This window comes from Homo sapiens, chromosome 10 (genome assembly GCF_000001405.40).
Source record: "Homo sapiens chromosome 10, GRCh38.p14 Primary Assembly".
In the NCBI taxonomy this organism is placed as follows: Eukaryota; Metazoa; Chordata; class Mammalia; order Primates; family Hominidae; genus Homo; species Homo sapiens.
In genome coordinates this window covers 32,617,630-32,643,113 of record NC_000010.11, presented here as the reverse complement: position 1 = coordinate 32,643,113, position 25,484 = coordinate 32,617,630, and the positions used below count along the sequence as shown (strand labels likewise).

The following is a 25,484-nucleotide window of genomic DNA, read 5'->3' as shown; positions in this document are numbered from 1 at the left end:
ACATGCCTCTCTTAGTAAATGTCAGAACTAACAAAAAATTAAAGGAAATCAAAAAATAAATACTACTTTAAATAGCACAATTTAATGCATGTTTCTACAGTCCTAACGTGATACACATCCATAAACCAAATTCTGCTTAATTTATTCAAAGTTAACTTTAATTTAAAATAATTTAATAATATTCATCATTACATTTACTGCTGAGTCTTTTTCTTCTAACAGTTCTAAGTGTCAGGCAAAATATTTTCATCTAATTCATCATCCATACTCTAGGATACAATAAGAAAATCTTTTTAAGAACTAAATGAGGTGCTGGAGCCAAGATGGCTGAACAGGAACAGCTCCAGTCTACAGATCCCAGTGTGAGTGACGCAGAAGACGGATGATTTCTGCATTTCCAACCGAGGTACTGGGTTCATCACACTGCGGAGTGTCAGACAGTGGTTGCAGGACAGTGGGTGCGGGGCACCGAGCCTAAGCTGAAGCAGGGTGAGGCATCACCTCACCTGGGAAGTGCAAAGGGTCAGGGAATTCCTTTTCCTAGTCAAAGAAAGGGTGGCACCCTTTTCCAGGTGGCACCTGGAAAATTGGGTCATTCCCAAACTAATACTGCGCTCTTCCAACGGTCAGCAAACAGCACACCAGGAGATTATATCCCGCACCTGGCTCGGAGGGTCCTACGCCCACGGAGCCTCGCTCATTGCTAGCACAGCAGTCTGAGATCAAACTGCAAGGCGGCAGCCAGGCTGGGGGAGGGGCGCCCGCCATTGCCAAGGCTTGAGTAGGTAAACAAAGCGGCTGGGAAACTCAAACTGGGTGGAGCCCACCACAGCTCAAGGAGGTCTCACTGCCTCTGTAGACTCCACCTCTGGGGGCAGGGCATTGCCAAACAAAAGGCAGCAGAAACCTCTGCAGACTTAAATGTCCCTGTCTGACAGCTTTGAAGAGAGTAGTGGTTCTCCCAGCATGGAGTTTGAGATCTGAGAACGGACAGACTGCCTCCTCAAGTGGGTCCCTGACCCGAGTAGCCTAACTGGGAGGCACCCCCCAGTAGGGGCAGACTGACACCTCACATGACCTAGTACTCCTCTGAGACAAAACTTCCAGAGAAACGATCAGGAAGCAACATTTGCTGTTCACCAATACCAGCTGTTCTGCAGCCTCTGCTGCTGATACCCAGGCAAACAGGGTCTGGAGTGGACCTCCAGCAAACTCCAACAGACCTGCAGCTGAGGGTCCTGACTGTTAGAAGGAAAACTAACAAACGGAAAGGACATCCACACCAAAACCCCATCTGTTCGTCACCATCATCAAAGACCAAAGGTAGATAAAACCACGAAGATGGGGAAAAAACAGAACAGAAAAACTGGAAACTCTAAAAATCAGAGCACCACTCCTCCTCCAAAGGAACGCAGCTCCTCACCAGCAACGGAACAAAGCTGGATGGAGAATGACTTTGACGAGTTGAGAGAAGAAGGCTTCAGACGATCAAACTACTCCAAGCTAAAGGAGGAAGTTCGAACCCATTGCAAAGGAGTTAAAAACTTTGAAAAACAATTAGATGAATGGCTAACTAGAATAACCAATGCAGAGAAGTCCTTAAAGGACCTGATGGAGCTGAAAACCAAGGCATGAGAACTACGTGACAAATGCACAAGCCTCAGTAGCCGATTCGATCAACTAGAAGAAAGGGTATCAGTGATGGAATATCAAATGAATGAAATGAAGTGAGAAGAGAAGTTTAGAGAAAAAACAATAAAAAGAAACGAACAAAGCCTCGGAGAAATATGGGACTATGTGAAAAGACCAAATCTACATCTGATTGGTGTATCTGAAAGTGACAGGGAGAATAGAACCAAGCTGGAAAACACTCTTCAGGATATTATCCAGGAGAACTTCCCCAATCTAGCAAGGCAGGCCAACATTCAAATTCAGGAAATACAGAGAACGCCACAAAGATGTGCTTTGAGAACAGCAACTCCAAGACACATAATTGTCAGATTCACCAAAGTTGAAATGAAGGAAAAATGTTAAGGGCAGCCAGACAGAAAGCTCAGGTTACCCACAAAGGGAAGACCATCAGAGTAACAGCGGATCTCTCGGCAGAAAATCCATACCTAATGCTAGATGACACATTAGTGGGTGCAGCGCACCAGCATGGCACATGTATACATATGTAACTAACCTGCACAATGTGCACATGTACCCTAAAACTTAGAGTATAATAAAAAAAAAAAGAAAAAAAAAAAGAAAATCTACAAGCCAGAAGAGACTGGGGGCCAATATTCAACATTCTTAAAGAAAAGAATTTTCAACCCAGAATTTCATATCCAGCCAAACTAAGCTTCATAAGTGAAGGAGAAATAAAATCCTTTACGGACAAGCAAATGCTGACAGATTTTGTCACCACCAGGCCTGCCCTAAAAGAGCTCCTGAAGGAAGCACTAAACATGGAAAGGAACAACCAGTACCAGCCACTGCAAAAACAGGCCAAATTGTAAAGACCATAGAGGCTAGGAAGAAACTGCATCAACTAACGAGCAAAATAACCAGCTAACATCATAATGACAGGATAAAATTCACACATAACAATACTAACCTTAAATGTAAATAGGCTAAAAGCTCCAATTAAAAGACACAGACTGGCAAATTGGATAAAGAGTCAAGACCCATCAGTGTGCTGTATTCAGGACACCCATCTCACGTGCAGAGACACACATAGGCTCAAAATAAAGGGATGGAGGAAGATCTACCAAGCAAATGCAAAACAAAAAAAGTACTTTAAACCAACAAAGATCAAAAGAGACAAAGAAAGCCATTACATAATGGTAAAGGGATCAATTTAACAAGAAGAGCTGACTATCCTAAATATGTATGCACCCAATACAGGAGCACCCAGATTCATAAAGCAAGTCCTTAGAGACCTAGAAAGAGACTTAGACTCCCACAAAATAATAATGGGAGACTTTAACACCCCACTGTCAACATTAGACAGATCGACGAGACAGAAAGTTAACAAGGATATCCAGGAACTGAACTCAGCTCTGCACCAAGAAGACCTAATAGACATCTACAGAACTCTCCACCCCAAATCAACAGAATATACATTCTTCTCAGCACCACACCACACTTATTCCAAAACTGACCACACAGTTGCAAGTAAAGCACTCCTTAGCAAATGTAAAACAACAGAAATTGGTCGGGTGCAGTGGCTCACGCTTGTAATCCCAGCAATTTGGGAGGCCGAGGCAGGCGGATCACGAGGTCAGGAGATCGAGACCATGGTGAAACCCCATCTCTACTAAAAATAACAAAAAATTAGCCGGCAGTGCTGGCGGGCACCTGTAGTCCCAGCTACTCGGAGAGGCTGAGGCAGGAGAATGGCGTGAAGCCAGGAGGCAGAACTTGAAGTGAGCCGAGATCGTGCCACTGCACTCCAGCCTGGACGACAAAGCTAGACTCCATCTCAAAAAAAAAAAAAAAACAGAACAGAAATTATAACAAACTGTCTCTCAGACCACAGTGCAATCAAACTAGAACTCAGGATTAAGAATCTCACTCAAAACCGCTCAACTACATGGAAACTGAACAACCTGCTCCTGAATGACTACTGGGTACATAACGAAATGAAGGCAAAAGCCAAAATTAAAGATGTTCTTTGAAACCAACGAGAACAAAGACACAACATACCAGAATCTCTGGGACACATTCAAAGCAGTGTGTAGAGGGAAATTTATAGCACTAAATGCCCACAAGAGAAAGCAGGAAAGATCTAAAATGGACACCCTAACATAACAATTAAAAGAACTAGAGAAGCAACAGCAAACACATTCAAAAGCTAGCAGAAGGCAAGAAATAACTAAGATCAGAGCAGAACTGAAGGAAATAGAGACCCAAAAAACCCTTCAAAAAAATCAATGAATCCAAGAGGTGGTTTTTTGAAAAGATCAACAAAATTGATAGACCGCTAGAGCAAGACTAATAAAGAAGAAAAGAGAGAAGAATGAAATAGAAGCAATAAAGAATAATAAAGAGGACATCACCAGCGATCCCACAGAAATACAAACTACCATCAGAGAATACTATACACATCTCTATGCAAATAAACTAGAAAATCTAGAAGAAATGGATAAATTCTTCAAAACAAACATCCTCCCAAAACTAAACCAGGAAGAAGTTGAATCTCTGAATAGACCAATAACAGGCTCTGAAATAGAGGCAATAATTAATAGCTTACCAACCAAAAAAAGTCCAGGACCAGATGGATTCACAGCCGAATTCTACCAGAGGTACAAGGAGAAGCTGGTACCATTCCTTCTGAAACTATTCCAATCAATAGAAAAAGAGGGAATCCACCCTAACTCATTTTATGAGGCCAGCATCATCCTGATACCAAAGCCTGACAGAGACACAACAAGAAAAGAGAATTTTAGACCAATATCCTTGATGAACATCAATGCAAAAATCCTCAATAAAATACTGGCAAACTGAATCCAGAAGCACATCAGAAAGCTTATCCACCATGATCAAGTGGACTTCATCCCTGGGATGCAAGGCTGGTTCAACATACACAAATCAATAAATGTAATCCAGCATATAAACAGAACCAAAGACAAAAACCACATGATTATCTCAATAGATGCAGAAGAGGCCTTTGACAAAATTCAACAACCTTCATGCTAAAAACTCTCAATACATTAGGTATTGATGGGACGTATCTCAAAATAATAAGAGCTATTTATGACAAACCCACAGCCAATATCATACTGAATGGGCAAAAACTGGAAGCATTCCCTTTGAAAACTGGCACAAGACAGGGATGTCCTCTCTCACGACTCCTATTCAACTTAGTTTTGGAAGTTCTGGCCAGGGCAATCAGGCAGGAGAAGGATATAAAGGGTATTGAATTAGAAAAAGAGGAAGTCAAATTGTCCCTGTTTGCAGATGACATGATTGTATATCTAGAAAACCCCATCGTCTCAGCCCAAAATCTCTTTAAGCTGTTAGGCAACTTCAGCAAAGTCTCAGGATACAAAATCAATGTGCAAAAATCACAAGCATTCTCATACACCAATAACAGACAAACAGAGAGCCAAATCATGAGTGAATTCCCATTCACAATTGCTTCAAAGAGAATAAAATACCTAGGAATACAACTTACAAGGGATGTGAAGGACCTCTTCAAGGAGAACTACAAACCACTGCTCGATGAAATAAAAGAGGATACAAATAAATGGAAGAACATTCCATGCTCATGGGAAGGAAGAATCAATATCGTGAAAATGACCATACTGCCCAAGGTAATTTATAGATTCAAGGCCATCCCCATCAAGCTACCAATGACTTTCTTCACAGAATTGGAAAAAACTACTTTAAAGTTCATATGGAACCAAAAAAGAGCCCACATCACCAAGTCAATTCTAAGCCAAAAGAACAAAGCTGGAGGTACCACGCTACCTGACTTCAAACTATACTACAAGGCTACAGTAACCAAAAGAGCATGGTACCGGTACCAAAACAGAGCTATAGACCAATGGAACAGAATAGAGTCCTCAGAAATAATGCCGCATATCTACAACTATCTGATCTTTGACAAACCTGACAAAAACAAGAAATGGGGAAAGGATTCCCTAGTTAATAAATGGTGCTGGGAAAACTGGCTAGCCATATGGAGAAAGCTGAAACTGGATCCCTTCTTTACACCTTATACAAAAATTAATTCAAGATGGATTAAATACTTAAACATTAGACCTAAAACCATAAAAACCCTAGAAGAAAACCTAGGCAATACCATTCAGGACATAGGCATGGGCAAGGACTTCATGTCTAAAACACCAAAAGCAATGGCAACAAAAGCCAAAATTGACAAATAGGATCTAATTAAACTAAAGAGCTTCTGCACAGCAAAAGAAACTACCATCAGAGTGAACAGGCAGCCTACAGAATGGGAGAAAACTTTTGCAATCTACTCATCTGACAAAGGGCTAATATCCAGAATCTACAATGAACTCAAACAAATTCACAAGAAAAAAACAAACAACCCCATCAAAAAGTGGGCGAAAGATATGAACAAACACTTCTCAAAAGAAGACATTTATGCAGCCAACAGACACATGAAAAAATGCTCATCATCACTGGCCATCAGAGAAATGCAAATCAAAACCACAGTGAGATACCATCTCACACCAGTTAGAATGGCGATCATTAAAAAGTCAGGAAACAACAGGTGCTGGAGAGGATGTGGAGAAATAGCAACACTTTTACACTGTTGGTGGGACTGTAAACTAGTTAAACCATTGTGGAAGTCTGTGTGGCGATTCTTCAGGGATCTGGAACTAGAAATACCATTTGACCCAGCCATCCCATTACTGGGTATATACCCAAAGGATTATAAAACATGCTCCTATAAAGACACATGCACACATATGTTTATTGCGGCACTATTCACAATAGCAAAGACTTGGAACCAACCCAAATGTCCAACAATGATAGACTGGGTTAAGAAAATGTGGCACATATACATCATGGAATACTATGCAGCCATAAAAAAGGATGAGTTCATGTCCTTTATAGGGACATGGATGAAGCTGGAAACCATCATTCTCAGCAAACTATCGCAAGGACAAAAAACCAAACACCGCATGTTCTCACTCATAGGTGGGAATTGAACAGTGAGAACACATGGACACAGGAAGGGGAACATCACACAATGGAGACTGTTGTGGTGTGGGGGTAGGGGGAGGGATAGCATTAGCAAATATACCTAATGTTAAATGAGGAGTTAATGGGTGCAGCACACAAACATGGCACATGTATACATATGTAACAAACCTGCACGTTGTGCACAGGTACCCTAAATCTTAAAGTATAATAAAAAATAAAAAATAAAAAAAAGAACTAAATGAAAACCAGATCTGTGGTGTTAAGTACTATACTTGCAATATATGCTAATGACTCAATAATACTGTCTCACTTCACATGATATAAGCAAATCACACTTTGTGGTAATAAACTATTAGTAGAGACCAACTAGTTGAAGTATAAGCTTTATGCTACTTTTTAGATACACAGAGGTGTCTTTAGAATAAAGTTTAAAATATTTGGTATCATTTGTCCAAGGAAAAAATATGTAATGATATTAAGTAATAGGGCATAAAGAAGAGTAAAAGAAACTTACCAGGCAGATAAAATAGGAAGGACAAAGAAATGGTATACTTAAACATAGAAATTATCAATAATAAGACTAAATGTGTTTAGGAGAGCTAATTAAAAGACAAAAATATTAGACTGAATTTGAAAAATATACAACTATGAGCTTCATGCAAGAGATACAGAAAAAAAAAACACAAAGAGGAATGTTAAGTTACCAGGATGAAATATAAAATGTATCATGCAAATACCAATCAGAAGAAAGTTGGTAGATTTACATTAATAGCAGATGTGATAGTTTTGTTTGTTTGTTTGTTTTGGGTTTTGTTTTGTTTTGTTTTTGTGGCAATGAGGGTCTCACTTCATTGCCCAGGCTGGTCTTGAATTCCTGGCTTCAAGAGATCCACTCACCTTTACCTCCCAAAGTGCTGGGATTATGGGGAGACATGATAGTTTTTAAGGCAAACAAACAAAAGCTATAAAAATGATAAAGCAGGTCCCTTCATTAGGAAAAAGTTTATTTCTTCCAGTAAGATTGTTAATTTTAAATTTATATGTACATTAATAATAAAATGTCATAAGATATAAAGTAAAACCTGACATTATTATAAAAAGGAACAAGGAAATTCACAATCATAGTGGAAAAATTAACACATCTAATTCAGTAATTATAGAGACACCAGTATAGATCTAGAAGTATACACAAAATAATTACAAAAAAAGTTGTAGATATATTCATGAACCATAAAAAAAGCTGTTTAATATAATTGAAAATAATTTTATAACATTTTAAACTTACTACTTACAATGAAAACTCTCATTTCTGGTAGCTTTAAGATTTTTAGTTTCAGATTGGATTCTTGAAACTAAAACCATGTCCTCAGGCAATTGTGGGGTTGTAAGAGTCTCTGAACAGAAAAACAGATCTATGATAAAACTTCTGTATATGTCAAGTAATCAGCAATACTTCCTCTCATTTGTGTAAAATTAATGGAATAGGACTAGGAAGTTACAGCAGTGAGGTATTCGTTAAAATAGACCGTGGATGCGAAGCAGAAAATTCTCATGTGTGGAGGCAATCTTGTTACATGGTAGTCACTGACTATGCAAATACCAATCAAAAGGTATTAAAGCTTTCACTTTAGTTCTCTAGTTATTTTGCAGTATTCACATTTAGGTCAAAGTATAAAATTTCTACAAATTATATGTTCAAATATTCATGATGCAAAGAAAAAAGACCTCTGATGAGTTAACTTAAAATAGTGTGAAGGGCCAAGTGCAGTGGCTCACACCTGTAATCCCAGCACTTTGGGAGGCCAAGGTGGGTGGATCACGAGGTCAGGAGTTCGAGACCAGCCTGATCAACATGGTGAAACCCCGTCTCTACTAAGGATACAAAAATTAGCCAGGCATGGTGACGTGCACCTGTAATCCCAGCTACTCGGGAGTCTGGGGCAGGAGAATCGCTTCAACCCGGAAGATGGAGGTTGCAGTGAGCCAAGATCATGCCACTGCACTCCAGCCTGGGTGACAGGGCGAGACTCCATCTCAAAAAATAAAAATAAAATAGTGTAAAGATATGTATAATTATTATACTTACCCTCATGTCTTTCCATACTAGAAGTTCTTTGTTTCATTTGTTCTATTTGGACTTTTGTTACTGAATCTTTATTTTCAACCATAAGATTTTCATCTGGAACTTCACTGTCAGCTACATAAAAAGATTCATTTAGTCTACCAAATAGAGAAAGAGCTCTATTGTGAAATCTCCAAATTTCACATTTTAAACATGTACACAGCAGCATTTTCTCTCATTCTCATAAAGTCATGAGTAAATTACCATTGAGATAGATCTCACATGAAAATTGTGAGAAGTTTTAATAGGTGTATGTTGCTGTTTCATTATTTCCAGGCATAATGTTAAGTAGGCAGAAAGCAAATAAACAAAAATAGAAAAAATGCATATCTAGAATGCTACCTTTTAGATAAGAATGAAGGAGAGATGAAGAAAAATATTGAAATAGACAGAAAATTAATTTCATGAAATGTAATACAAGAAAAACAAACCGGAAAACAATATACATGGTTACCTTTACTGGAGAAATACAAAGGGAAGAGATACAGGAGGAATGAAACTGCTCTAAGTATACCTTCTGCATATTTTTCACTTTGGGAAGTAAGTTAATGCACAATTCCAAAACATATATATATACACACACACACACATATATATACACACACACACACACACACACACACACACACACATATATATATATATACACAAAGCTAAATCAATAGAATTAGAAAGGGAAACTATAACTCAAAGAAATAAGTGAACCTACTGAGGAAAGAAACAAAGCATTAATTCAAGTAACTTGTGAATAAAAATTTGACAAATATTCTCAGTCTTGGTCAAGAGAGTGGGGTGCAAATAAAGTCACAAAATATTTTAGTAAATTTGTTTTTCTAGTGCTATGAGCTAAGCAATTCTAAAACAAATTGAGGAGCATTAGGGGATAAAGCAAATGAGTACATGTGTTGTTAATGTTCAGTCAGGTTTACACTGTGGAAAAGAAAACAAATACATACAAAATGAAGGAAGGCAAGAATAAGACCTGAGAGGATAAACTGGAATTGAAGATGTCCATGAGAATTCCTCATTTCTAAATATGTTTATTTGCATGTATATGCATGTTTGTGTACATAAGAACATGTGTGTATGAATGTGTGTGTGTGTGTGTGTGTGTGCGTGCACGCGCGCAAACTGAGGAGCCCTGTGTGTATGTGCAAACTGAGGAGCCCTGTGTGTACGTGCAAATTGAGGAGACCAGCTCCAGGTTAAAATCCTATGTGTGAACTTTCATGCCCAATCATTAGCAATTACAGATAGATACTACAACAATCATAGGTGGAGACTTTAACATCCCACTTTAAATAATAGACTGAACAACTAAGCATTAGATCAAGAAGAAAATAGAATTGAAGAATACAATAAATTAAGTAGAGCTCACTGGAAGTCTACAGATACCCATAGAAGGCTCCACCCAACAGACAAATACGTGTTGCTCTAAAATATACTTGGAAATCTCTAAGATATGCAATATGTTAGGCCATAAATCAAGCCTTGAGAAATTTAATAGTATTAAACTCATGCCAAAGTTGTTCTTCAATCTATATGAACTGACATTAGAAATCAATAACAGGAGGAGATTTGAGGAATTCACAAATAAGTGGAATTTAAACAACACACTCCTAAATGACCAATGGGTCAAGGAAAAAATCATAAGGGAGACTAGAAAATAGGTTGAGGTGAAGAAAAACAAAAACACATCACATGAAAACTATGGGATGCAGCTAAAGTGATGCTTAGAGGAATTTTACAGCTGCAAACTTACACTGAAAAAGAAAAGAGACCTCAGTCAACAAAACTTCTACCTTATAAGCTAGAAAAAGAAGAGGACATTAAAGTAAGCAGAAAGAATATATATATTTATTTATATAAATAAAAGAAAGAATAAGAAAAGAGCAAAAATCAACAATCCCATGCTGGCTTGGTTTAATAACTGAAAATCGATATACTAAACGATATTAATAAATGATTCCCTTTATAATCATCTCAATAGTTCGAAAAAAAGCAAACTCCAAATCCTTTTTTAGAAAAACACTCAACAAACTGAAAATGAAAGGGAATTTCATAGCTAGCATTATACTTAATGGTTAATGCTTTCCCACTAAAGTAAAAACAAGATAAGGATGTCTTATCACTTCTGTTTAACACTACAATGGAGTTTCTAGCCAGAGAAATTAGACCCCCCCCCCCCCAAAAAAAAGAAATAAAATGTATCTGGATTGAAAAGGAAGAAGTAAAACTCTCAACTTACAAATGTTTTATAAAGAAATTTAAGAAACACCTATACACACACAAATACATCCCAAAGAGGGAATAATAAACCTATTAGAAGAAATCAATTTAGCAAAGATTTCAAATTATAAGATCAATATACTAAACTCAATTGTATTTCTATATACTAGCAATTAGCAGTTTGAAAATTAATAATAGTATCAAAATGAAACAGTTAAAGAATGACTTTTAAAAAAATAAGTATAAAGTCCTGTATACTAAAAATACAAAGAATCATTGAAAGTAATTGAAGAATATATGATAAATGAGAAGACAACCTGTGGTTATGTATTGTTAGACAATATTGTTAAAAGGACAATACATTCCAACTGATTTACAGATTTGACTTAATCCCTATCGAAATACCAATTAGTGTTTTTTTTTTTTTGTAGAAATTGAGAAGGCAACACTAAAACTTATATGTAAATTTAAGGCATCCAGAACCACCAAAACATGAGAAAAAACTATTTGGAGGCCTGTCACTCCCAATTTAAAAACTTGGTACAAAATTTCAGTAATCAAGAGTGTGGCACTGGCATAAGCAAAGGCATATACATAAATGCAATAGAATTGAGAGTTCAGAAACAAACCCTTACATTTATGGCCAAGCAATTTTTTCTACAAGAGCACTAAGAAAATTCAGTGGGGAGAAAATAGTATTTTCAAAAACTAGTGCTGGGAACTGAATATACAGATGTAAAAGAATAAACATGAACTCTCATCTCACACTACAGGCAACTCAAAGTGGACTGCAGACCTAAATATTAAGAGTTAAAACTATAAAACCCTTTATAAAAAAATAGAGAAGTAAATTTTTGTGATTTTGCTTTAGGCAATGGTTTCTTGGATATGACACCAAAAGCACAAGTTAACAAAAGAAAATATAGATAAATTGAACTTCACAATTAAAATTTTTTTTGCTTCAAATGACACCATCATCTAGAGGTTTCATCATTCACTCACATGTCTGCCTCAGCTAAAGCTGTTAACCAGAGAACCTACATATGGCCTTCCTTTGCCTTGAGCTTCTCACAGAATGGCAGCTGGATTCTGAAAGAAAATATCTTAACATAAATCTTCCAGAGATTGTGTGCCAAGAGCCAGGCAGACACTGCATGGCATCACTTCTACCCATTCTATTAATGAAAATGAATATAAGCCAGCTAAACTCACAAGAGGTTGGGTAGACCCCATTTCCTGACTGGAAGAAGACTCAAAGAATTTGGGGCTATATTTTCTAACTGACACAGCATATAAATTATAAAAATTGATCTTAATTTACAATTATTTTGGATCAACCCAGTAATGAATATTATACAGATCAGAATGATCCATGTGCTGAGAAATATGTTTATTCTGCAACCAATAAATAAAATATTCTTTAAATATCTACTAGGCCAATTTATAGTGCAGATTAAGTTCGAAGTTCCTTTGTTGATTTTTTGTCTGGGAGATCTGTTCAATGCTATAAGTGGAGTGCTGAAATCTAGCTATTATTGTATCGGGGTCTGTCTGTCTCTTTAGCTCTAATATTTGCTTTATCTATCTAACAAAAATAAGCAATGGGAAAAGGACTCCCTGTACTAACCCCACTCCCTGCACTAACCTCACATTGAGAACAGCACCTTATATTAAGGAAGGAAGCCCCTATTACAAGCTTCTTCCCAAGAAGTAAGGGGCTTGTTTCATATATATATACACATACATATATATGCATATATATACATATATACACACACACATATATATGGTACCCATATATATATTTCCATATGTATATATGGTACCCAACTTTTACACTCTATGCCATAGGGCTTGGCACTTAAATCATGCTTGAGGAACAGCAGGGACAGGGGGATCAGAGGATTTCCCTCAAGGACAAAAAAAACAAAGGGGCAGTTTGAACCATGTGAACATTCCCAGCACTAATACCCCTGAGAACAGCTCAGATTTCTCCTAGAAAGGGCTTGGCCACATACTTTTCCAGCAGCTCCCTGCAGTTCTGGCTTCTAACAAGCCAATATCTGGGAGTCTACATAGTAGAAAAACAGGAAGCACAGCAATCCCTGTGCCTTTCTTCCTGGCTTGCTTCAGCAATAACTCCAAACTAGAAGACTCCCTCTCTACAAGGTGGGTTTGAAACTTCTGTTTCTTTGAACAGGAGATTAGGCACTCTAGCGCTTTCTTCCTGAGGATGCTCCTGCAATAATTCCAGCCTTACAATATCACTGTGAAAAGAGGTTGGAGTCCCCTGCCAGTGAGAATGGAAGGGATGGCACCCTCTGTGCCTTCTCTGGATTTCTACTCAGATAAATTCCTGAAATCTCTCACTGGAGAGAGGCTAGGGGACCTCTCCAAGCCAAAAAGGAAAAAGTGCCTACTCCCTGCACCTTCTTCTCTGGCTTGCTTCAAAGGCAACTCCAGACCCAAAGTCTCCCCCACTGCTAGGAGGGTGTGAGACTTCTGCTTGCTTGAACAAAATAGTGAGCACCCTCGCACATTCTTCCCTGGGTTCCTCTAGCAATAAATCCAAAGCTGAGGACTCTCTCTCTTGTAGTTTATATGCACATCAAGGAGACCGACTTTTGTAGCCTTCACCCAATAAACTGACTCTCAAATCACCTATCTGTGGGAGCTGACACAGCTCTGAACTCCTGAGTCTCCTAGACCACAAGAACAAAAAGGTGACTTTTAAACTTGCCAATATTCAGTAGTTATCTCCCCAGGAAACCAAAAGAGAGCAGAGGTCACTATACTTATATCAAAAAAATAAACTTCCAGTCAAAAACTGTAAAAAGGGACAAAGAAGCATACTATGTAATGATAAAGGGGTCAATTCATCAAAAGAATGTAACACTTGTAAATATATATGCTGTAAATACCGGAGAACCTAAAAACATAAAGCAAATATTAAATGTCTGAAGGGAAAAACAACTGTAATACAATAATAGTGGAGAACTTTAATACTCCACTTTCAACAATGGACAGATCATACAGATGGAACATTAATAACGAAACACTGGACTTGAACTATACTTTAGATCAAGCGAACCTAATAGATATATACAGAATATTCCATCCAACAGCACTAGAATGCACATTCTTCTCAAGCACATGCAGCCATTCTCTGGAAAAGATCACACATAAGGCACAAAAAAGCCTTTGCAAATTTAAGAAGATTGAAATCATATCAAATATCTTTACTCACCACAATGATATGAAACTAGCAATCAATAGCAGAATAAATTTTAGAAAATTCACAAATACATGGAAATGAAACATGGTCCTGGAAACCAATGTGTTAATAAAGAAATTAAAAGGAAAATTAAAACATACAATGAGACAAATGAAACTGAAAATACAACATACCACAACTTAGGGGATATGGAATATGGCAAAAGCAGTTCTAAGAGAAAAGTTTATATCAATAAATGTCTATATCAAAAAAGATGAAAGATCTCAAAAATTTAACATTATTCGTCAGGGAACTAGAAAAAGAAGAACAAACTAAGCCAAAGTTAGCAGAAAAAGGAAATAATAAAGATTAGAGCAGAAATAAATGAAATAGAGACTAAAAATCAATACAAAAGAACAATGAAACTAAGACTTGATTCTTTGAAATGGTAAAGTTTTAAAAACCTTTAGGTAGACTAAATTTCAAAAAGACTCAAATAAAATCAGAAAAGGAGGTATTACAACTGATGTAACATAAAGACCAAAAAAAAATCAAAATAGACTACTATAAACAATTACATGCCAATAACTGGATAACCTAGAAAAATGAATAAACTCCTAGAAACATACAACCAAGCAAGATTAAATCAGTAAAAAATCTGAACAGTAGAAAATCTGAACAGACCAATAATTAGTAACGAGATTAAGTCAGTAAGAAAAACTCTACCATGAAAGAAAAGTCCTGGATCTTGGAGTTTCTGTGCTCAATTCTACCAAGAATTTAAAAAAGAATTAATACCAATCTTTCTTAAACTGTTCTAAAAAATTGAAAATGAGGGAATACTTCCAATTTTGGTTTACTAGACCACTACTACCCTAATACCAAAACCAGATAAGGACATTACAAGAAAAAAAAATTACTGACCAATATCCTTGATGAACATAGATGCAAAGATACTCAACAAAATACTATCAAACCAAATTCAACAACACATTAACGGTATCACCTATCAAGGTCAAGTGAGATTTATCCTAGGGATGCATAAAAGGTTCAATACATACAAATCAATAAATGTGATATATCATATTAACAGACTAAAGGACAAAAAGCACATGATCATCTCAATAGATGCAGAAGAGGCATTTGACAAAATTCAACATACTTTCATGATTAAAAAAAAACTCTCACCAAATTACATATAGAAGGAATGTATGTAAACAATAAAGGCCATATATGACAAGCCTTCAGGTAACATTATAATCAATAGTTAAAAATTGAAAGCCTTTCCTCTAAGATCTGGACAAGACAAGAATGCCCACTCTCACCACTTCTATTCAGTATTAGTACTGGAAGTCCCAACCAAATAAATTAGGCTAGAGAAAGAAATAAAAGGCATACAAATAGACCAGAAAGAAATAAAATTATCATTGTTTGCTAACAATATAATATTATACATAAAAACCCTTATGACTCCATCAAAAAATGTTGAATTCTATAAAGTTGCGCAATACAAATTAACACACATAAATCAGTAGTGTTTCTATACATTAACAATGAACTATCCAAAACAGAAATGAAGAGAACAATCTGATTTACAACAGCTATTTAAAAAATAAATTAGGAATAAAGTTTGACCAAAGAGATAAAAGACCTGTACACTAAAAATGATAAAACAATTGATGAAAGAAATTGAAGACACAAATAAATGGAAAGATATCCCATGATTTTTAAAAATGTCCACACTACCCAAAGCAATCTATAGTGTCAACGCAATCCTATTAAAATTCCAATGTCACTTTTCACAGACATAGAAAAATTTTACATTCATATGGAACCACAAAAAAAAAAAAACCTGAATAGCCAAGGCAATCATGAACAAAAAGAACAATGCTGTAGGCATCTCGTTACCTGATTTCAAACTATACTACAAAACTATAGTAATTAAAACAGCATGGTACTGCCAAAAAAAGTAGACACACCAACCAATGGAACACGCCAGAAAATGCAGATATGAACCCAGCCTATATAGCCAATTGATTTTCAACAAAGGTGCTAAGAATACACAATGGGGAAAGGATAGTCTTCAATGAATAGTGTTAGGAAAATTGGATACTCACATGCAAAGAATTAAATTGGGCTCTTATCTCACACCATTTACAAAAATTAAACTCACATTAAAATCTAAAGGTAATACCAGAAACTATAAAGCTATTAGAAGAAAACAAAAGTAAAAGCTGCACAGCATTGGTGTAGGCAATTTTTTTTATTTGACCCCAAAAGCACAGGCAACAAAAGCAAAAATAGACAAGTGTGATTACATAAAATTGAAAAGTTTCTGCACAGCAAAGGAAATTATTAATAATTTGAAGAGACAACCTATGAATTAGGAGAAAACATGTACAAGCCATACATTCATCAAGGATTTAATACATAAAATATATAAGGAACTAAATTCAACAGCAAGAAAATAGAAAACCCAATTTAAAAAACAAGTAATGGGACTGAATGTACATTTTTCAAAAGAAGACACAAAAATGGAAAACATATATATTTTTAAAGCTCAACATCATTAATTATTAAGGAAATGAAAATTAAAACCACAATGATATGTCACCTCACATCGGTCAGAATGTCTATTATCAAAAATACCAAAGATAAGTGTTGGTCAGGATATGAAGAAAAGATAACTCTTGTACACTGTTAGCAGGAATGTAAACTAGTACATCAACTATTAAAAACAGTATGGAGGTTCCTCAAAACACTAAAAATAGAATCACCATATGATCTGGCAATTGCATTTCTGAGTATTTACCAAAAGTTTAAAACCCGTTTGTCAAAGAAATGTCTGCACTCCCTTGTTCACTGCAGGCAGCAGTATTCATGATAGCCAAGTAATGGAATCAACCTGTTTATCAATGGATGAATGGATAAAGAAAATGTAGTACATAGAGAGAGTAGAATACTATGTAGCCTTTAAAAATGGAATTCTGTCACTTGCAATGACATGGATAGAACTGTAGAACACTATGCTAAGTGAAATAAGCCAAGCACAGAAAGACAAATACCACATGTTTTCACTTACATGTGGAAGATAAAACAACTGAACTCATAGAAGCAGAGAGCAGAATGGGGGCTGCACAGGCTGCAGGTGGGGGTAATAAAGAGATGATGTCAAAAAGTATAAAATCTCAGTTATTCACGAGGAATAAAGGTTTTTTGATATCTACTGTACAGCATGGTGAATATAATAGCATATTGTACATTTCAAAATTGCTATGAGAGTAAATTTCAAATGTTCTCACTATAAAAAGTGATATTTGAGCTGATGGATGTGTTAATTAGCTTTAAGTACTCCACATTATATTCGTAAATCATAACATTGCTTTATACCCCATAATAAATACAGCTATAAATTTCAATGTATAATAAAATAAATAATAAATAAAATTTAAAAATTTAAACAGTATTGTAATGGTATATAAACAGACACATAAAATAAAAATAATAATAATAAAACAGACACATAGGTCAAACAAATAGGTTAGAGAGCCCAGTAATAAACCGAGGCATATATGGTCAATTAATCTTTGACAGGGGTGCCACCAATACACAATGAAGAAAACATAATTCCTTAAATTAGGTTGAGAAAATTGGATATCCACATGCAAAAAATAAAATTGGACACTTATTTGACACATACACAAAAATCAACTCAATGAATTAAAATTTTAAGCATAATACCATAAAACGTCCAGAAGGAAACATAGGGGAAAAGCTCCTTGCCATAATTCTTGATTTTCTGGGTAGGACACCAAAATCACTGGCAACAAAAGCAAAAATAAACAAGTAGAACCTCTGCAGATTAGTGAAGAACTAAAAAAAAAAAAAAAAAAAAAAAAAACTTGTGCAAAGCAAAGAAAAAAGTCAACGAAATGAAAAGGCAACCTATGGACTGGGAGAAACCATAAATTTGATAAGCAATTAATATAAAAACAAAATATAATGAACTCAAGCAATTCAACACTAAAACCCAAATAATCCAATTAAAAATGGGCAAATGACCAAAATAGACTTTTTCATAAAAGTAGACATACAAATGGCCAGTAAGTATATGAAAAAGTCATCAACACACACACACACCCAGTGCTGTCCTCTAAAACCTGCTGTACAAATTTTCATTCCACGTAGTTGGGAAGATGCAATGGAGGACTCCAAAGCCTTATGGAATGTAGCCACTAGATAGAAGGAGTCTAGGTAACCAGATGACTCTATGGATAAGAAACTTGTCCACTGACTCTCATTAAACTATTAGATGAGAGAGACATAAACAACAGTTATATTAAGGCATTGAGATTTTGACATTGCTTTTGAAGCACTGAGAATACCCTTACCTAAATCAATAAATTTAAAATTAGTGGCATTGGTTTAGCATCTGATTGTTAAAATGCAAAGGAACAGACAGAAACAGCATGCCATTTGGTAGAACTGTTGACTGCTACAACTTGGAAGGCAGACAATGTGTATGCTAAGCCTGCAGCTCTTTGGAAAGTGGTTGGAGAGAATGAGAATGTGATTTATATTTTAAGAAGATCACTCTGGCTGCTATGTGATCAAGATTAGAAATGGGGGAATCAAGCAACTATTGTAATAGTCCAGGGCAACAAAAAAGATAATGGAATAAACTAACATGGTAAATGTGAAAGTGGTGGAGGTGGTGAAAAGTGGTTGAATTTTTTATATATTTTGATAAAAGGAAGAAAAGAATGTTCTAGTGCATTGAATAAGGATTGTGAGAGAAAGTAAGCAGTCAAGAAAAACTCTCAAGGTTTTCAGACTGAATAACTGATATGGTTTGGATACTGGTCCCCGCCACATCTCATGTTGAAATGCAATCCTCAGTGTTGAAAGTGGGGCCCGGTGGGAGGTGTTTGGATTATACGGGAGGATCCCTCATGAACAGTTTAGCACCATCCCCTTGGGAAGAAGTGAGTTCTCACTCAGTTCAGGCGAAATCTGGTTGTTCACGTGTGTAGCACCTCTCCCATTACTCTCTCATTCCCACACTCACCGTGTGACATATCTGCTCCCACTTCACCTTCCTGCACGAGTAGAAGCTCCCTGAGGCCCTCGCCAGAAGCAGATGCCGGCACCATGTTTCTTGTACTGCCTACAGAACCATGAGACAAAATAAGACCTCTTTTCCTTATAAATAACCCAGCCTCAAGTATTTCCTTATGTCAACACAGATGGACTAAAGCAGTATCTGACAGAGTTCTTAATAGTATTTATTGAGGTAAGGCAACTAAGGGAGAAGCAGGTTGTAGAAGAGGGAAAATTAAGACATTAAAACTTACTAAAGTGTTAAAAACAAAGTATTTGTGCAATGATAGATAATTGTATCAATAAAACAGAATAGAAATCCAAAATAGAAATACATAAAAATGAAAATATATTAAAAAATGGCATTTATATTCATTATAGAAAATATGTTTTAATAAATGAAGCTCACATAATCAGGTTATATACCCTATCATATATCAAATACAAAAATAAAATCCAACTGCAATAAAGATCCAACTGTGAAACAAAATAAAATTTCAGAACATATAGGATAATTTTTATAAAACATTTGGAAGGACAAGGCCCTTTTAAATAAAAAAGGAATTCCTGAATTCACAAAAGAAATATAGGTACATTTAATAACACAATATTTTGTGTAACAAACAAAATGTAGTAAGAGTCTAGGAAAGACACTTGCAATCTATATGGCAGGAAAAAGTTAACAAAATCAACATTCCTGATATGTAGGGGACGCTGAAAACTTGATGAGAAAATAAAACAGAAGAACAACATGTTGTATGACACATTCAGAAGAGAGTTTGCGAATTGTCATCAACCATTTGAAAATATGCCAATTTCTGTTAATGTAGTGAATTACACTAATTAATTTTCAAGTGTTAAGCCAACCTTGCAATGCTCAGGCATAAAAACATTTTATTATTATTAATAATATCTATTTTTTAAACTTATTATCATAGAAATAATTATTGCTAACCCTGTAACAGTTTGCAATACAAAGCATATGCCATTTATTTAACACAGTAGTTCTCAACTGGAGGTGTTTTTCCCCCAGGGGACATTTAGCGGTGCTCAATTACATTTTTCTTTCTTACAACTGAGGGTCGCTACTAGCATCTAGTGGATGGAGAACAGGCATGCTGTTAAACATCCTGCAATACATAAGTAAGCCTCTCACAACAGGAATAATCTGGGCCAAAATGTCAACAGTGCAGAGGTTGAGAAACACTGATTAAACAGATCAGTTTAACCAAGACTTGTCAATTCTATATCCTAAAAAAAATTTCAATTCTGAACCACTCCCACCCCCATAGTACATCTTTACTATCACTGCAGTTATTCTTAACTACAAATTTGCCCCTTCAGTCTATTATCTAAATTGCTGCCCAAGCAGGAGAAGGCTCGAATGGAGTTAGGTGGGATGGGGTTAGTTTCATTAAAACACAAATCTATTTATACAATAATTCTTCATTAAATCTCATATTTCCTTTGTTTGAATTTACCTATTTGAGAAAAAAAAATCCAGACAGGGTAGCTAAAACTAGCCAGAGCAAGTAGATAGGACTCTATGGGTCCAATGTTAGAAAAAGGACACTGCCTTTTATCTAAAGCTGTAAGTGAAACTGAGATCATGAGAGTGAGAGTTAGCCAAGAGTCAAAAAGAATCTCAGAATACAGAATGAAGTACACACAGAAGACAGTACATTTGCAAACTGAATTCCGTAGAGAAAGGTGAGAGATAAAACACAGATAAATTGAGTGAACACTTGAATTTGTGAGATCTGAGATTGATAAGCTCTGTAAGTACAATGGTGCTTGTGATGGTTAATTTTATGTGTCAAGTTGATGGGGCTAAAAGATGCCCAGATAGCTAGTAAAACATTATTTCTCAGTGTGTCTGTAAGGGTGTTTCTAGAAAATATAAGCATCTGAATCAGTAGATGGGCTAAAGAAGATCCACCCTTACCAATGTGGACAGGTGTCATCCAAATCACTTAGGGCCTAAATAGAACAAAAACGCAGAGCAACAATAAGTTCTCCCTTTCTTCTTGGCTGGGATATCCATCTTCTCCTGCCCTTGGAATTGGAGCTCCTGGTTGTTGGGCCTTCAGATTCCAGGACTTAAACCAATGGCCTCCCAGATCTTAAGCTTTTGACCTTGGAGTGGAGGTTACACCATCAGCACCTCTGGTTCTCAGGCCTTCAGATTCAGACTGAATTACACTATGGCCTTTCCCAGATGGCATATCATGGGACTTCTCAGCATCCATTATCATGTGAGCCAATTCTCATAATAAATATCCTCATGTGTATCTATATATTGATAGAGATATAGACAGACAGACAGACAGATCCTATTGGTTCCGTTTCTGGGGGAAAGCCTGACTAATACAGTGGTGGCAGCAGACAGATAATGAAAACATGTAAGGCTTTGGAAATTGTCCTCAATATCTGGGACATGAATTGGGAATCCTAACAAAAAAGTCTTTGAAAACAGAAGTTTTCTTTGTGGTATAAAGAAGAGACAGCGGTATCTTCAAGAGATGGTAATGGAAGCATAAGGTAAGGAAGTATTTCATTCATGAAAGCATCTATATCACATGGGTAATATGATTATAAGAAGATCAGAAATAAAATCCTTCAAAGTAAAGTGACCATATAATTTATCACCTAAATCTTGACAATCTTGAAAACAACAGGGTTGCTATTAGTAATTACACTGAAACAATCAGACTAAACCAGCTTTGTCCCGGAAAACTAAAACACATTATTTCTTAATAATAAGAATAGTGCAGAGTAGGTTGGAGATGGGATTATATTCAGTAATTTATCAAAACTTCCAATGTCAAGATTAAATTCAGCTCAAATGTTTCTGTACTTAATGGTATTATTTTGGCTATGAAGACACTAAAACTCTGCATACCATATTTACAATCGTGAAGGAATACAGTATCCTCCTTAAGTTGCACTGCTGAAAGTAGTAACAATGACTGTAGACCTCTCCAGCTATATCATATGGTGATAAAATTCTCCCTTTAGTCAGTAACATCTGAGACAACCACTTAACAGTATCTAAACCTTAATCAGACACTGCTAAACACAGGATGGATTGGCTCAGTCAGCCATGGCTGGACAGTGGAAAAGTTCTTAAATATAAATACAAAATCAACAGTGTCTAGCAGTGTCTCTCCATACTTTTCACTAAAATATGTAGGAAGATTAAAACATTCACAAAAATACCAAAATTATAAATGGCAATCAAGTACCAGAATTACGGAGGAATTACCCACAAAAAAAAAATCCAATGTGAGGGTAACTATAAAACAGAAAAAAAAAATGTGATAAAGGAAGAAGACAATTATACCTCTAAAATTATGTAATATGAGAACTCTAAAAAATTATTTTCAAAACTGTCTGGCAACATCAGTAGAGTAGAAGATGATATTATCACGCTATAAAACAGGTGCAGGAAATTATATGAGAATACCAATTTGAGATGAAATCACAAATGTAAATAAAGATCACCAAAATAAAACAATGCAAGAAAACCTAAAATGCAATAACAGAATTAAAAGACACATTGGGGCTGGGCACAGTGGCTCATGCCTATAATCCCAGCATGTTGGGAGGTCAAGACGGGTGGATCATTTGAGGCCAGGAGATCGAGACCAGCCTGGCCAACATGGCAAAACTCCATCTCTACTAAAAATACAAAAATTAGCCGAGTGTGGTGGTGCATGTCTGTAGTCCCAGCTACTCAGGAGGCTGAGGCAGGAAAATTGCTTGAACCCAGGAAGCGGAGGTTGCAGTGAGCCAAGATCATGCCACTGAATTCCAGTCTGGGTGACAGGGCAAGACTCTGTCTCAAAAAAAAAAAAAAAAAAAAAAAAAAAAAAGGTACATTGAAGGGCTGGGAGCAGTGGCTCATGCCTGTAATATCAGCACTTTTGGAGACTGAGGTGGGAGGATCACTTGAGACCAAGAGTTTGAGACCAGGCTGGGCAACATAGCAAGACCTTGTCTCAACAAAAAAAATTTTTTTTAAAAATAGACTGGCATGGTGGTGCGAGCCTGTAGTCCTAGCTGCTCAGGAGGCTGAAGCAGGAAGAAGATTGCTTGAGCTCAGGATCAATTTCAAGGTTATTTATTTTGTTCATTTATCTGTCTATTTTTGCATCAATACCACACTGCTTTAATTATTCAAGTATAAGATTGTCTAAGATCTGGTAGGGCTAATTACTCCTCATTATTCTTGCCTTTAACATATATGCCTGTATGTGTGCATATGTATGTTATTCTATATGTTTTATTCTTCTAAATAAATTTTATATTAATTTGATCAAATATTGATCCCAGTGTGCTCCCTACCATTATTATATTTTCAATGCTATTTCCTTTTTCATCATAATTTTAATACATTATTGTTATTATACAGGCTAGCTATTGATTTTTGTATATTTATCTCATCCTACCATTTTGTTGAATTCTGTTTTTATCAATTCAAGTAGCTTTATAATGGAATCTCTTTCGTTTTACAGATGTACAAGTCATTTTCTCTTATATTGCTCAAAAGTTTTACTATGTTTTTCATGTTACTTGATGCTTTAGGATTTATTAACATTACATTTTTATTTTGAAATATACTTTTTATCAAAATAAGATTACTGTCTTTACTAAAAGGCTTTGGCCTTGAAAAATAAAATAAAATAAAACCAAGCAGAAATTCTAGAACAAAAAAAATCATTGAAGGAAATATTAAATACATTCAAAAGCTTCAATTATAGACTAAATAGAAGAAAAAAATCTCAGAACTTGAAGAAAGGTCTTTTGAAATAATCCAGTCAGATAAAAATAAAGATAAAAGAATAGAACAGAATGAACAAAGCTTTGAGATGTCTGGGACTACATAAAGCTATAGAACTTATGCATTGTTGGTATTCCTGAGGAAGGAAGAGCAATCAAAAAATTTAGAAAACAAATTAAGGAAACAATTGCTGAGAACTTCCTATCCCAAGGCAAATACATTGCAAAAAGAAGTCACCACAGCCTATATATTCAGAATGTCTACAGTCAGTGAAAGAAAGAATTTTAAAGTTAGAAAGAGAAAATCAGCTGGTGACCTACAAAGGAAACCACATCTGACTAACAGAAGACTTATGGGCCAGAAGAGAATAAGATGGCATTTTCAAAGTGCTGAGAGAAAAAAAAAGAAATCTGTCAGTCCAGAATGTTATATGCTGCCAGAAGAAGCTTCATAAATCAAGAAAAAATAAAGTCTTTCTCAGATAAGCAAATACTTAGAAAATTTTTGGTGACTGGACTGGTCTTGCCGAAAATGCTGAGAGTACTTAGACATGGGAATGAAAGGTTGATAATTACCATTATGAAAACATACAGAAATATAAAACTTAGTTTTTATAAAATAATCACAAAAAGGAGGAAAATAAAGGAATCAAATGGAATCACAATAGAATTTCATCAAACCACAAAGACAAAAAGAGAAGAAAATAAAAAAATTTAAAACAATTTAAAAATAAAAACATGACAAGAACAAAGCCTCATATATCAATATTAACCTTTAATAGGTTAAATGCTCCACTTAAAAGATAGAGATTGGCAGACTGCATTAAAAAATATGATCAAATTACATTCTTCCTATAAGAAACTCACCTTACCTATAAAGACACATATAGACTAAAAGTAAAGGGGTAGAAAATATATTCCATGCAAATAGAAACCAAAGGGGAACACAAGTAGCTATGGTTAAATCAGATAACACAGACTTTAGATCAAAAAAAGTAATACAAGACAAAGAAAGACATTATATAATGATAAAGAGATCAATTCAGCAAAGGATACAACAATCCTAAATACATGGGCACCCAACATCAAAACACCTAGCAATACAATAATAGAGGAGGACGTCAACATCACAGTCATAGCACTAGACAGATCATTTAACAAAGAAACACTGAACTTAAACTGGATTTTAGACCAAATGGACTTAATAGACATTTACAGAACACTCTACCAAGCAATTACAGAATATACATTAGTTTGATAAGCAGATAGAATATTCTCCAAGGTAGACCATGTTAAAGCAAAGCCATAAAACAAGTTTTAACAAATTTTCAAAAATCGAAATCATATCAAGTGTCTTCTCAGACTACAGTGGAA

At 35.7% G+C, this 25,484-nt stretch overlaps 1 protein-coding gene across 46 annotated transcripts in view; it reads right to left on the bottom strand.

The window, feature by feature from the left end:
* CCDC7 (coiled-coil domain containing 7) overlaps positions 1–25,484 on the bottom strand; it is a 439,541-nt gene that overhangs the window by 239,751 nt on the left and 174,306 nt on the right. For 39 of the 46 annotated variants that reach the window (XM_047425743.1, XM_047425742.1, NM_001321115.2 and 36 more), the window contains 2 exons: positions 8,750–8,860; positions 7,956–8,057 (listed from right to left, as the gene is read on the bottom strand). The exons of 4 other annotated variants lie outside the window; for them this stretch is intronic. In XM_047425743.1, coding sequence (XP_047281699.1) covers positions 7,956–8,057; positions 8,750–8,860 — 213 coding nt within the window. Of the gene's footprint in view, positions 1–7,955; positions 8,058–8,749; positions 8,861–19,296; positions 19,331–25,484 lie in introns of those variants that run through there. 3 more of the 46 variants (XM_011519669.1, XM_011519675.1, XM_011519687.1) reach the window with 2 other exon arrangements.